At 34.8% G+C, this 13899-nt stretch overlaps 1 long non-coding RNA gene across 1 annotated transcript in view; it reads left to right on the forward strand.

Moving 5' to 3' along the window:
- The window catches only part of CXXC4-AS1 (CXXC4 antisense RNA 1), a 206628-nt gene that overhangs the window by 4647 nt on the left and 188082 nt on the right, over positions 1-13899 (forward strand). The gene's annotated exons all lie outside the window — the stretch shown is intronic.

Consider the following 13899-nt stretch of genomic DNA (forward strand, 5'->3'; position numbering starts at 1 on the left):
GTTCTTCAGACCCTCGAAGTACTATTATGCCAGAATGTAAAAAATCGGTGATATGATGCTTGGCCAATTTCAAAATCCATCTCAATCTCTGTCTCTCTTCTCTACTCTTCTCTCTCTCCTCCCAAAATCCTCTTTTACTATTCCATCTGGTAGTTCCAAAGAATAAATCAGATTTTTAACTCACTGCCCTATTTTTTAATTTCAAACTTTACTTAAACAAAAACTTTTGTCTTTCAGTCTATTTTAGAATAGTATGTAATTAACATTTCACTTCTTGCCACTTGGGAAAACATAGTTTATGAATTGAAACATAAATATTGTACGGCACGTCAAATATAAATAAAACTCGTTCATAAATGCAGCTGTAAATTAACCTCTTCACTGCTGCCTCAAATAAAATATTTGTGGACACATGCTATCCTACTATTAAAGTATACTCTAGTGGAAATAGTTATAAGATACAGAATTATGAATACTTTTGAATAATTTTTTTTCTAAGAGCAAAACAGTGGCTAAGGTAAGTTATAGAGTAGGAAAGAAAAAACTTAAGATTATTTAAATTGGTGTTATCAAGCAGAGTACAAGTTTTGTATTAAAATTAAGTGTTTATTCTAGAGTAATGCAATATTAATTGTTCAGATAAGTGAGGAAAATATAATGTTTTGTTTCTTTAATAAGAAAAAAAAGCTGAAAAGACATTTTAAACCATTTTGTATTTGAATTTTCAAAAGATAGACTTTGACCATATCAAGACATTACCAACTATGGAGGATAAATTGTTGATAACAAGTTTGAAACTGTGGTGTGTGTATGCCTAAATGAAGGTGTTATTTCAAGAGTGGGCTACTATTGCAATAGGAAACAGGTGTATTTTGTGACTCATTGATTAATATACATGTTTTGTAATTTTTTTAAAGCATAAGCTGTTTGATTATTACCGGTTATTTGACATCTATAGACAAAATAACTGGAGGGTTAATAATTATTCAAGTTAATAAGATATTTTTATTCTTGTGCTAATGCATTATAAAAGCAAAAAAGGAAATTTTCCATTTGATTATTTTGTTTTAGCTCAGCTTCATAGGAAATTTATCAGGAAAATGTGGTCACTTTTTAATGAGTGAAAACATGCTAGAAAAATGATAGATTCTTAAACATCTTTTCACAATATTTAAAATATCAGTCCAATGTTAGAAATTTTGAAGTTTATAAATAAGCAATGTTTTTAATCAAATAAAGACATCATGCTTTCTTTTGCCAAATTTTCTTTTCTGGAAATTTTCCTTTTTGGAAATTCCTTTTCTCATGCTTTCCTTTTTGGGACTCTTCAAGCTTACTTTCAAAATGAAATCTTAAACACGTGAGAGAAAATATGTTCTAAATTCCAATGAATTTTACTTTCCAGCTAATGAAGGAAAACTACAGAATTCTTGGTCTTAATAATTAATAATAATAGCCCCTATTAATGACCCATTAGTGTCAGATCCTGCACTAAGTAATTTGCAGATATTCTATTTTGTCCTTGCAATAATCCTGTGAAGTGGCTATTATTTCCATTTTACAAACAAGGAAATTGAGGCCCAGAGAAATGAGGTAACCTAGATTAGGTCACAAAGTTAGTATGTAAAAAGTTTGAAATTTGTACCCAATCTGGTCTATTCCAAAGCCTTATGTTTATAACCTCTACCCTAGTCTCACTGTCAATAATTAATCAATCAATAAACCTTCTCTGGATACTGGAACCTCAGATTTAATTATGATTGTAGGCCCCTAGTTGATATGGGATCAATTAAATTTATAAAAGAAATTATAAACAATATACCTCATGGCTCTGATATAGCATTCTGTTTCCTTTCCACTAGGGAATTGATTGCATACTTAGCCAAATATGATCAAGGGAAATCTTTTTTCTCATCTATCTCATATCCATTAATTTTTTATACTAGTGTAGATACATATATGCACCATGTCTCACATTAGTCTATGTTTGTCTTCTTTAAAATGATATATCAGGGTTTTGATAATAATACCTGAGAACACTCAGTTCTCTGTTAACTCTCTTTAAGTCCACAGTTTTATATGATATACGAAAAAGTGAGATTGTTTTCTCTGCAAAATGCCCATTACAGCTTCCAATTACCTGGAAGTGGTTTGTGCCTTTACCCTGCTTTATGATTTTTTAAAATCTTAGCTAGGAGAGAGTTCAAAGGTTTCATAGCTATCCTGATGGGACTTTTTTTTTAATCCCAACTTGAGCATCACCCAAAAAAAGTATCCCCACTCAGCATAAATTTTATGTACTGCTCTCAAATATCTTTAAAGTACTGCTACTTTCCAACATAATCATGATCATCATTGTTATCCAGAATCTCCAAAAAGGTAGCATATTCTGTTGAAATAAATAGACCTCAAAATTTACCAATGCAAAATCCACAGAAGTATGTGTTTTCTCATGTAACAGTCCAGGGTGGGAATTTCAGATCAGAGACCATTCTTCTCTATGAGTGATCCATAGATTAAGATTCCTTTTATCTTGGGACATTTTATCTCCAAAGGACTGCTCAACTACATCAAGCTGGCAGAAGGGCATGAAGGAGCTATGATGGCTTGTTAAAAGTCTTGGTCTTAAAGTGGAACATAGCACTGTAGCTCACATGCAATTGTCAAAAACTTGTTACATGCCACACCTAGCTGCAAAGATTACTGGGAAGCCAACTCCAAGATGCAGCTTTATTACTATGGGGTAGAGAAACAATTCTGAGGGACAGCTAGCTATCTTCCACGCAGAGTAACACAGAAGGAGAATAATCTGATGAAGTGATTAAGTAGACCACACAGCCCTGAATCTAACCTTGAAATTCCTCTGCTCCCTGGAAGTTATTTTGCTGATTACCACTGAAAACAGTCTTAATGACTTTAGGGAAAGTTTGGCAACTGTGAAAGAACTAAGCTTTCTTAAATACTTGTAGGATAGCCAAGACAAGGTTAGAAGATTTGAACAAGAATTTACTGAAGAATAAAGAAAGCAGAAGTAATACAATCAGAGAAAATAGCATAAATAAAAAATAAACTAACCGAGATAAATCTTGGGGACCTGCAGCTTGTCTGCTGGTGTTTTCAAACCAAGAGGTAATTTTTAACCTCGCACAAATGAGATGTTTCCTATTAGTCATAAGAAAATATACAACATGGAGGTCAGAAAAGGTGTGTGGAGCTTTCTTACCTAATATCCAAGGACTCACATCTCAACTTACATTCATGGGCTCTGAGGACCACCTCTTTTGCCATAGTAATTCACTGTGGATATAGTAAATAACCACATCCTTTATAGAAGGAATATTCCCTTAAAACAAATAGGGAATAATTTCTTTAACTCTTTTGACTGGCCAAAAATCTACCTAGGATTTTTATTTACCTGGCTCCTTTCCCAGAATTTGAGTTGGTTGACATTGGGAATTGTGTCTTATACAGCTTTGTGTCCCACCTCATACCTACTATGCCTACTACATGGCAGGTTCCAAACATTCTGAGTCATGCATATTGAAATAATGTAGTATACACAAAATGTATGGAAGTAAATTCCCCATTGCCTATAGGATAAAAGTGCAAAATTTATAAAATTAATTTTATGAAGCCCTTCTCCAACTGGTTCCATCTTTTGAATCTACTCTACTAGTATTCCTTCCAAGAACCCACTATTCTAGCAGATCCACTTAGCTCAGAAAACTTCATTTGCCTTATGACCAGAGAGGGAGAAAATCTTTAATAATGAACTGTGAGCCAAAATGAAGTACTATTATTTCCATAAAAGAAATCTTTGCATATAAAAAATTATTATAGCATAATGAAATAATATTTTTAAATCCCTTAATTTAACGTTTTCAGAAGTTGTCTTGGTGACTTAACAATTGGGATTTGATGAAGCTACTTCTTAAAATCAATATTCTGCACACCTGTTGTTTTCTTTCACTTCTAATTAAATATTGATACGTTGTTATCACAATGCTGACCTTCATATTCAAAGCTGGTACTTTTAACCTACCAACACAGTAGGTCACATGCTTTGAGCTGTTTTTCCAGCTATCTTTACTCTCTTACCTTGTCTTTCTAATGACTAACAGGAGGCACTTATGGAATGGCTGGCCACTGTTAAGGACAAAAACTGTGACAATTGAGGATAATGAAAATAATGGGTTCACAGGGTTAAACCCATTACGTTGGCCTCATTAACACCATATTCAAATCAACTAAGCTAATCAAGCTTATCACATTCACATATTTTCATATACAGTTTGGACACTAGACAAATATGTACCAAGTATTATTTTGGGCATTAATTTTTAGAATTGTTCTTTGCAAGACCAAATTTGGTCTAGCCCCATTTTAATTTACTCATGATATTTTTTCTCATCATATAAATTCTCATTTCTATAAAACTACAGCTCTAACACTCCATGGAAAGTGCTATTCCCAAACACAGAAATCCAAACTTTCTCTGGTAGGCTAGAAAGGGAAAACTCCAGAAGAATGTTTTTTCTTCTATAGGCTCACTGACATAGCTTGATTTTTATTAGCTATTGTTTTCCTTGTACTTTCCCAAAAATATTTGGTATCCTTTGTTCATTGGATTATTAGAAAATACAAACAATAACATTCCAGATTTTGTCAAAGTATTTACTCATGAAGGAAACAATGGGTCACTTTTGCTACAAAACACCAAGTGATGGTAAATAGCTTCCAGGCACTAACAAATCTAAACTCAGATTTGTAACATGGGCCCCAAGCTGTTCTTTGGGGTCTCCCTTTTCCTTTGCCTGGCAGAATCAAAGCATTCCATGCTGGCCTTTGTCCCAGGAAAATTCTCCTTAATCATGCAACTACCTGTGTGCCTTCTGGAAAGATAAATCTCTTCAGATAGATAAGTAATGGTAAAGTAATATAAAGTGAGGAAATCCTGTGGTGAAATTTGTAGTTAAGAGCTAACCAGGAAACACTTTGTCCACAGTGCTCAGTGTGCCAGTAGTCCGTGTTCCCCTGACAGCAGTCCAGAATGTGGCGGTGTCACTTCCTTCTGCTGTCGGCCATTCTCTTCTGCACACAAGTCTTCTTAGACAGAATTTATAGGACACTGGAAATCAAGTAACATAGTCCCCTATCTCAATTCTTCGAATTCTCTATCAAAACTCCAAACTCAGTAACTTAGGAAACCAATGTTCTATTAATACTTCGCTCAACAGGAAGAAGTGGACCTTTTATTTAAAACAAGCTTACATGCAGACACTGGACATTTTATTAAGAGGCCTCTGAATCTTCAAATTGCTAGACAGGACTTACCCAGTTAGAAAAAAAAATCTTCAATTTTTAATAATAGAGTTACTTCAAGAATGTACCTTGTAAAGACATAAAATTAGGTTTATAAAAGTCATATTGTTAAGCTCTGTGAAACTCCAAAATTAAATCTGTCTTAAACCATTTCCTATTATATAATATCACCATTTTTGAATTTGCCATTTTTAAGTAGAATAAAGAAATTTTTACAAAATGGTTGTGAACACAAAAATTATATTTTTTTCCCTGGAGATTTTAGACTTCCAGTGTAACCTAGATATCTCCATTTGCAAAAGTTCAGGTTTCTTAATATTAGTCTCAATATTTTATTTGAAATCAAAGCCACTCTTCATGCTTGTTTTTTTTTAAGTGTGTTTCCATTTAGTTTATCTTCAATTAACTCCCTTTTTAAAAAAGGAATTCTATTTTTCTTTGTTGAGAGGAAGAATTCAAGATAATATCCCTGAGTTGTTAACGTTCAGTCCAGAAAGGTTTTTTTCCTTCCCAGTGCTGACCTTTGTTATGCCGTAGTTATAGCAACAAGAAGAGTTCCTTCTGTCTGTCTGTTGTGTTCTCTTTCCAAACTAATGACAGTCTTTTATATGCTGTTGTGCAGTATGGGGAATGCTTTACGTGCATTGATTTCTTGATTTACTGATGCATTTAGCTAAACCAGCAATTTGAATGGAAATTTTTTAAATAAATGCAATTAATTGAAATGGAATTTGCACATTATATATGTTATTTATGGAATACAGATCATTCATTTAGGCATTTTTCTAGATTGTCTTTGAGCTTCCCTGACCAACTTGCAGTTTAACTTCTCAGTGATGAAGTTTATTTATCCTATCATTATATCTTCTTAGTCGAAACAGAAAGAAAGCAAAAAGAGAGAGAGAGCCCCTTCTAGGGGAGTAACATGATGTAAGAACACTTAGTTTTTCTGCCAACCTGGGTCATACAATCATTATGACCTTGGGCATTCTACCTCTCATTTTACCGATCTGGAATATCACTTTAATTACAGTAATTACCTATCTCACAGGGTTTGTGAGGTTTAATTAATGTTAGCAAAGTGTTGTAGCTATTTAGTAGAGCAGTACTATAAAAAGCAAACTACCTGAAAATCACAACTATGTTCTCCCCACATAGTACTTAATTTTACACAATCCTTTTCTTTTTCCTTCAGAGTTAATTTAACATTTATTGCTTTTTTTTTTCTGTTCACTCCATATCTACATCTATGGTCTTTGCTACTTGAGACTTACTTTGGATGTAAAACATAGCCTCTGTCCCACTTTTGTTAGATTGCACGATCACCTCCAGGAGCTCAACATTTCTGAATCTAACTGGATTGGGATTAACAGTAGTATCTGAGCAAGTAGCTGTGGCTACACACTTCCTTTAAGTCCAGTTATAAACTGCCAGTTAACAATATGAGTTTGGTTCTCAAATACCTTTTGTTTGGAACCATGGTGTTAAACAAACTCAATTAGACTTCCAGTTTTTTTCATAAGTTGGAAGTTCTGAAAGTATTGTGTCTACATTCCATCCTGGAAATAGTAGCTGTAGCTATTATTAGTGATGGAGTCTCCAGTTTGCCGGCACTTTTAGCATTCCCTGCTGTCTGACACTTGCCCACCTAAGCATTGGAATTTGTAACTCAAGGCATCTAAGTACGCTTGTGCTAGCTGTTCACTGCACAACAATGCCTGGCCAAATGGGCAAGTAGGAGCTGGAATCCAGCCCATTGCTTTGCTTGCCAAGCCATGTTCTGGTGGGTCTAATTAGCAAAAAGGCATTCTAGGGGCTAGAAATGGCCTTATCAGTATCCCCATTATAGGCCAATTAAGTAAAGCAATGAACATTGCAGCCACCTTTATTCATATTAAAAAGTTAGCATCTCATCTTTGAAATTATATCCCACAAGATTATATTTAGATTAATATTAAAATCATATTCAATTTTATCTTTATCCCTTTTTTGTGAACCAATTTCACCTAAAACATATTCCAATATGAACTAATTTTCAAATAGGATGTAAATAATATGAAATTTTCAATTGTATGAACTCATTACCACTGAATCAGGAGTTATGTTTCATTGAATATCAACAAAATGACTAGTAATGTGAGTTGGATCGTCGTAATAACATTGTATTTCTTTCTTTGGGAACAACTACTCTTTAAAAAGAGGGAGACACTGTTCAGACCCCAGTTCTTTCTGTTATCTGCTAACATTTTATAATGGTAGCACTGCTTGAAAGAGCAGTTGTTTTTACCAATTTGTAACTTGGCTCTTTTAAAATGCATGATGATACGATGGCATTTCCTTTAAAATGTTTCTATTTTAAAACATATCCTATTCCTGTAATTCTTGGCTACTTTGTATTAGTGAAAAAGAAACAACTCTGTTACCTAATGGGAACACTGATTGATTTACATACCTTTCTTTAGCAAGTATCAAGAGTCCAAAATTTGAAGAATGTCCAACAAAAGCTAGCCTCTAGATATTTTACTGCATGCTAATCTCCTTGCAGAGGAAATCCAGACAGGTATATTCATTTGTTATAGAAAACAAAATAACTTTATTCTTTAATAAAGAATAGATAGAAAGAAGGTTTTGAGAATTCTGAGTACATGTAAGAGAAAATTACTCAAACTGGCTTAAATGATGAGGTCTCTTGTAGGGCAGACTCCAGGCAAGGAACAACCTGTGTGGCTTATAGATATCACACATAATATAGGCTTCTTCCATCTCTTTGCTCATCATTCCTATTATCTTATTTTTTCCTTCAAGCAGTTCCCTCACAGTTACTGCTCCAACATCATAATCTATGCATAAAAAAGCGTTAGGGAAAAGAAAAGGACTTTCTTTTTTTTATGCGTTTTTGTCTTTAGAGTGAGGAACTTTCCTAGAAGCACCATCACTGACTTCCGCTAAGATCCAATTACCCAAAATTGAGTTACCTGATGACACATAAACCAACCATTTTCAAAGAGAATGAAATTGTCTTATTCTTAATAAGTATCTACCAGCCCTGGAACTAGAGGTGTAATCATTCTGAAACACATGACGGTGTGAAGGATAGGAAATACCTGAACATAGCCATGATTTGTTTAAGAAGGAAGAAGAAGATAGGGGATTGGATGGTTGTTGGTGAGACCAGTATCAGTATCCGTTGTCTTATATAAGTCTATTATCACTTGATTTTTATTGTCTTAGAAAAACTAACCAGCCCTAAATCTCATGAAGCATGCCAGATTACATATAATAAGAGAAAGTCAGTTTATGGATGCCAGCTCTTTATTATGAGTTAATTAATGAATTATAATTACAGCCATGAATGCCTATAAGCAGGATTTATTTTTAGCAACATGGCTTTCCTGGCAAAGTTTTGATTTACTGACCTATCTTTATTGAAACTTATCTCATGTTCATCATTACAGACCTTTTATACTATGTTACATAAATCAGGGAGTATCTGAGCTTGATCTATAAGGTATAGGGCTATAGGATGTGAGGAGAAAGCAAAGAGAATGAGGAAGTTAAAAGAAATTAAGAGAAACAATTTAAAAAATGGCAAGGTACATCTATTTCCATAATTAAGTACATCTGGTATATTTTCATCTTATACCTTCTACTGGCCATTAAAACTATTACCTTAACATATTTGCAAGTAATCAGAAGCAAAGTAAATAGCCAGTCCTTAAAATTTCAAGTTGATCCCCAAACTGACTCAAATTTGCAAAAATCTGGCATAATTTAAAAGTAAATAAATAGAAGCAACACTTAGCAGAAGGTTCCTAACATAAACAAAGCTGTGCACGTTTTGTTTATTTATGGGATCTATGCAAAGTGTCATATTCATTTAAAAATATTCAGCACGAGAGTGATTGATTTTAAAAATTGAATAGAATTAAGAAACATAGGCATTCTTTAAAATTTAAAGTTCTGTAAAAGAAAGAATGGCTATTTTTTCTAGTATTATACTTGGGAAAACATTTTTCTCCTTTATGTCTGTTCAGATTTTTTTAAACATTGACTGTGAGAAAAATAGCCAGCATTTTATTCAAAAGTGCATTTTAATTGGGATGTAGCAAACCCCAATATTCATGTAATACCTGTATGTTGCTCCAGATTAAGTGTTAAATATTAAGTATGAAATCTCCTAAATTAATCTTTTTTATTCAATATATTTTTATAGCATTCTTAAAAGACAAAACATGTTAAAATCCCTATCCTTATAGAACTTATATTCTACTGTCATCTTAATTCAACTAATAGCCATTTACTCTTTCTTTCCAGCCTGGATTATTCTTTATCATATTTTAATTGAATAAGTATTTTTTGAACACGTTATATGCATGACATAATGTCAAGTACTGAAGGAATGAGAAATTTCCTTGAAAAACTAATAATTTAATAGAGGGTACTCAGACAGGAAACACACACAGTTCTAATATTACATTTATCTCACCTCTTCTATAAAAAGAAGAATTTAAGTAAGTAGAGTGTAATAAAAACCAGATCCTGAAAATTTCTATATTGTAAGTATCAATGTAGTGCATTAAAAGCAACGAGGAAGGACTGGATAATTTGGAGGTCTGGGATGCTCCTGAGGAAAACCTCACAAAAGAAGTATTTGAAGTGGAATGACTAACGGAGAAGGGGAGAAAGAATATTTGGCATAAAGGACAGGGTGTAAGCAAAAGCTGGGGGAACACAAGTGCATAGCAGAGCCCAGAAGTGGTACATTGTTGATTGTGGCTGCAGTAATGATACATCAAAAAGAGACAAGTGATGGGAAATGAGACCCAGAAAGAATACTGTTAAATTGCATATAGCCTTTAAGGTTATGCTGAGGAAAAAGACTTGCTTAGGGGTAAAAAGAGGCCAATAAATGTTGTTTATGTCAGGAGGTCTATGCTCACTTGTGTTTTTTTGTTTATTTTTGTTTTCAAGTATCCTTCTGACTTACACTGGGGAAGATGGTTTAGAGGAGGTGAAACATTTTGTCCTTTAGCAGCGTTTTAGATAAAGATCCCAGCAACAGGATGGAATAGGAGGGAGACAATATAGACAATTTGAGGAAAACCTAGAGTTTATTTGAAGGAAAGATGAACTTCAGAGGACAAGAAGGGTGATTCACAAAAAGTCATCTGGAAGGGAGATGTTAACCAAAAAAAAAAAAAAAAAAAATCCCAAAAGCAAGGATATTCCTAAATTGAGTGAACCATTGATGCTGAAGGATCTACAAAGGCTTGAAAGAAGCTTCTAGGGGCAATTCTAGAGTTGTGCTAAGAGCAGTTTTTAACCACTAGTTGGTTTGGGAAGAGATGGGAAACTCCTATTTCTACTGTTGCTTGGAGTACAACGTCAAGGGGATTGGCTTCTGCTCATTTGTGTGCCAAAACTATGGTTATTTCATGATTTATTTTATGGGAAATTATTATTTATTTTATGTCAAAAAACAGAAAAACTAGAGGCTTTTGCTACATATTTGAGCTTGCCCCAGATTGAAACCAATAAATGTGGCAATAAGAAAAACTTGTCAGTAAACAGTTTCAAAGACCTAATGGTTACATGGATAACTGTGCAGTCAAGATCATCCCTTTTCTGATCTTCACACTGTCATCAGGATGATTTATGGGAGAAGAGAATCCCATAAATTCTAACCTTTGCATACTCCCCAACACTTACCTCCTCCAATACTGGCCAAAGACCATTAGGACTCATCTCTTTATATACTTTTTCACTATTGTGTCAGTCACAGCCATAAACCCTGGCTTCCTAGAGCATTGTTGATTTTCACATTCCAGTTTCTATATATAGCTCCGTATATCCACCTTTTAGTAGCCATCTCCTGACACCGTTGATTCTTGAGAATGAGTGTCTGCCATCAGCAAAGCCCCCGTGTTCTCAATAACTTCTCTGAAAATTCCCTTCATCTTGCTCTTGTTGAAATGTGGTTCTTTGGGAAGCACTTGCATGCTCTGTAGTGCTCTCAAATGGTGATCATGGGGAAGGTTCCTTCTTGCTCTTCATTGTCATTTCCAGACTGTTCCATGCTATTCAAGCCCCATTCTCCACTGCTGTAACAGTAATGCCATAAGACTATGCTCCCTACTTCTGTTCCTTGTTTAAATCATCTAAAGGATTGAAGGGCTCTCCTCAGTCTATGAAAACTTTAGCTGTAACTCTTGGCTCACACCACCACAACTCTTTCCTTGATTCTGAGTGTTTTCAGTATTTAGCCATATAATTCTTCAAGTCCTCTTGCCTCCTTGATCACCTCCCTTTGATTCTTTTTTTCTCCCGCCTCCCTTCTGTCATTAAACTCTGTGGTCACACTCTAGACCCACTGTCTACTCATCACTTCCTATATTTCTAGATCACTTCCTCAAATCCTTGGCTCTCAAATATCCTTCAATTGTCCCTCCCACTGAACCTACAATCCATTGATCCTGCTACTGTTACCCTCATCTTCCCATGCCTCTGTTTCCCTACATACTCCTCAGCTTGGTCAATCATTATAAACATTCCCTTTCAAACACTCTAAATTTCCCATGATCAATCATTTTGAACACTCCCTTTCCTATACTTCAATTCATTTAGCTATCTCTTGGCTAAACCCTTACTTTGGGATTTGTAAGCTGTGTTTAACCAAAGTAAACACAGTAAAGGAATGCCTGCTCCATTACCTTACCTGAATAGCCACATATGGCTGGAAAAACATTTACAAATCTAAGTCTTATGTTAGCTTCATGGTAGTTACTCAAGTGGGCCTTTAATGTTGCAGAGCAATTATATTACATTTACTCTTCCTTTTTCTTTCTGTTTTATATCTTCTTTTTTCAAACCTCTAACACATCTCCCTGTTCTTTATGCAAGTTTCTACTTCACTGTGTTCATAGAAACTACTAGAATAGCAGTTTCCATGAGCTCCTGCTATCATATCTACTTACCTTCTAGTATCTGTATACAGACATTCTTCCTTTCCTCCCACTGGAATATATTCTGCATGTTTCTATTTAAAGACACCCTCTCCCATTCTCACTGGATCACACATAGAGTCTCACTCCAGCAATTCTCCCCTCTTTGTCATCATCAAACTATTCCTCTCAACTGTAGTATTACCATTAGAATACGTTTTTTAAACCATTTAAACCACATTTTTCCCTCTATCAATCACCCCATTCACTCCTTAGACAGTTAAATTTCTTAAAAGAATGGTATATACCAATGTCATAATTTGCCTTTTTCCCTTATCTGTTGAATTGGCATTAGTCCATCTCTTTTCAAGATTTCCAGTGACTGTACCTTGTTAAATTCAAAGATGAACTTCAGTCTTCCTCTTATTTTACCCATTAGCAACATTTGATGTTCTCTTTCCAGGGCTTTTAGAAAACCAGTCCCCTGATTTATCTCCTACCTTGCTATCCTCCTAACACTGAAGTGACCCAGAGTTTAGACTTTAGACTTCTTTTCTTATCTGTTTACACTCACTATCTTTCTGATCTCATCCAATCTCATGGCTTTAAATTTCATCTGTGCCCTAGACACTCCAAAATGTAAATCTCCAGTCAATACTTTTATATCTAATTACTTTAAAATTCCAGTTAAATTATCTAAAATTGAACACCTCTCTCCCTTAACTACCCTAAAACGTGCTCTCAGTTAATGGCAACTCCATCATTCTAGTTGCTCAGATCAAAAATCTTGGGGTCATTCTTATTACTCTTTATCTCTGTGATGGTTAATTTTATGTGTCGGAATGACTGAGCTAATAGATAGCTGGTAAAACATTATATCTGGGTGTGTCTTTGAGAGTGTTTCTGGAAGAGATTCGCATTTGAATCAGTAAGCTGAGTAAAGATCGCTCTCACCAGTGCAAGAAGGTATCATCCAATCCACTGCTGAATTGAACAAAAAAGCGGCAGAAGGGAGAATTCTGTCTCTTTCTTCTTGAACTGGGACCTGGGACATACACTTTCTCCTGCCCTCAGACATCTGTGCTCCTGGTTCTTGGTTTTCTGGACTTGGACTGGGACTTACATCATTGGCTTTCCTAGTTCTCAGACTTTGGGGCCTGGACTGGAACAATACCATCAGCTTTCCTGGCCTCCAGCTTGCAGATGGCAGATCATGGGACTTCTCAGCCTCCATAATCTCAAGAGACAATTTCCCATAATAAATCTTTCTCTCTCCTCTCTCTCCAAAAAGGGAACAAAAAGGGAATCTAAAGCAGCAGAGAGAAAATGAGGGAATAAAAAGGCAAATTCTGAGGTGGAGGGATGAAAAACAGACTTCAATTCTGATTACTTGTATTGTTTCATTGAAGCAAGAGGTGAGGAGTATCTGGTAAAAGTGAGGGCAGATTCAATGCATAAAATCAGTGGTAAATATCTGAAACATTAGCTTTGGAAAGCAAGGAGGGAAGTCTAGGAGTTAATATAATATATGTAATGTATTAAATGCTCATTGAGTATGTGTTGGCTTGAATTCAATTAAGTAGGCAAGAGAAAGGGTAAGCTGGTTGAAAGCAATATTAATAGTTCAATCTGAAAG

The sequence above is a fragment of the Homo sapiens genome, chromosome 4 (genome assembly GCF_000001405.40).
Source record: "Homo sapiens chromosome 4, GRCh38.p14 Primary Assembly".
Classification (NCBI taxonomy): Eukaryota; Metazoa; Chordata; class Mammalia; order Primates; family Hominidae; genus Homo; species Homo sapiens.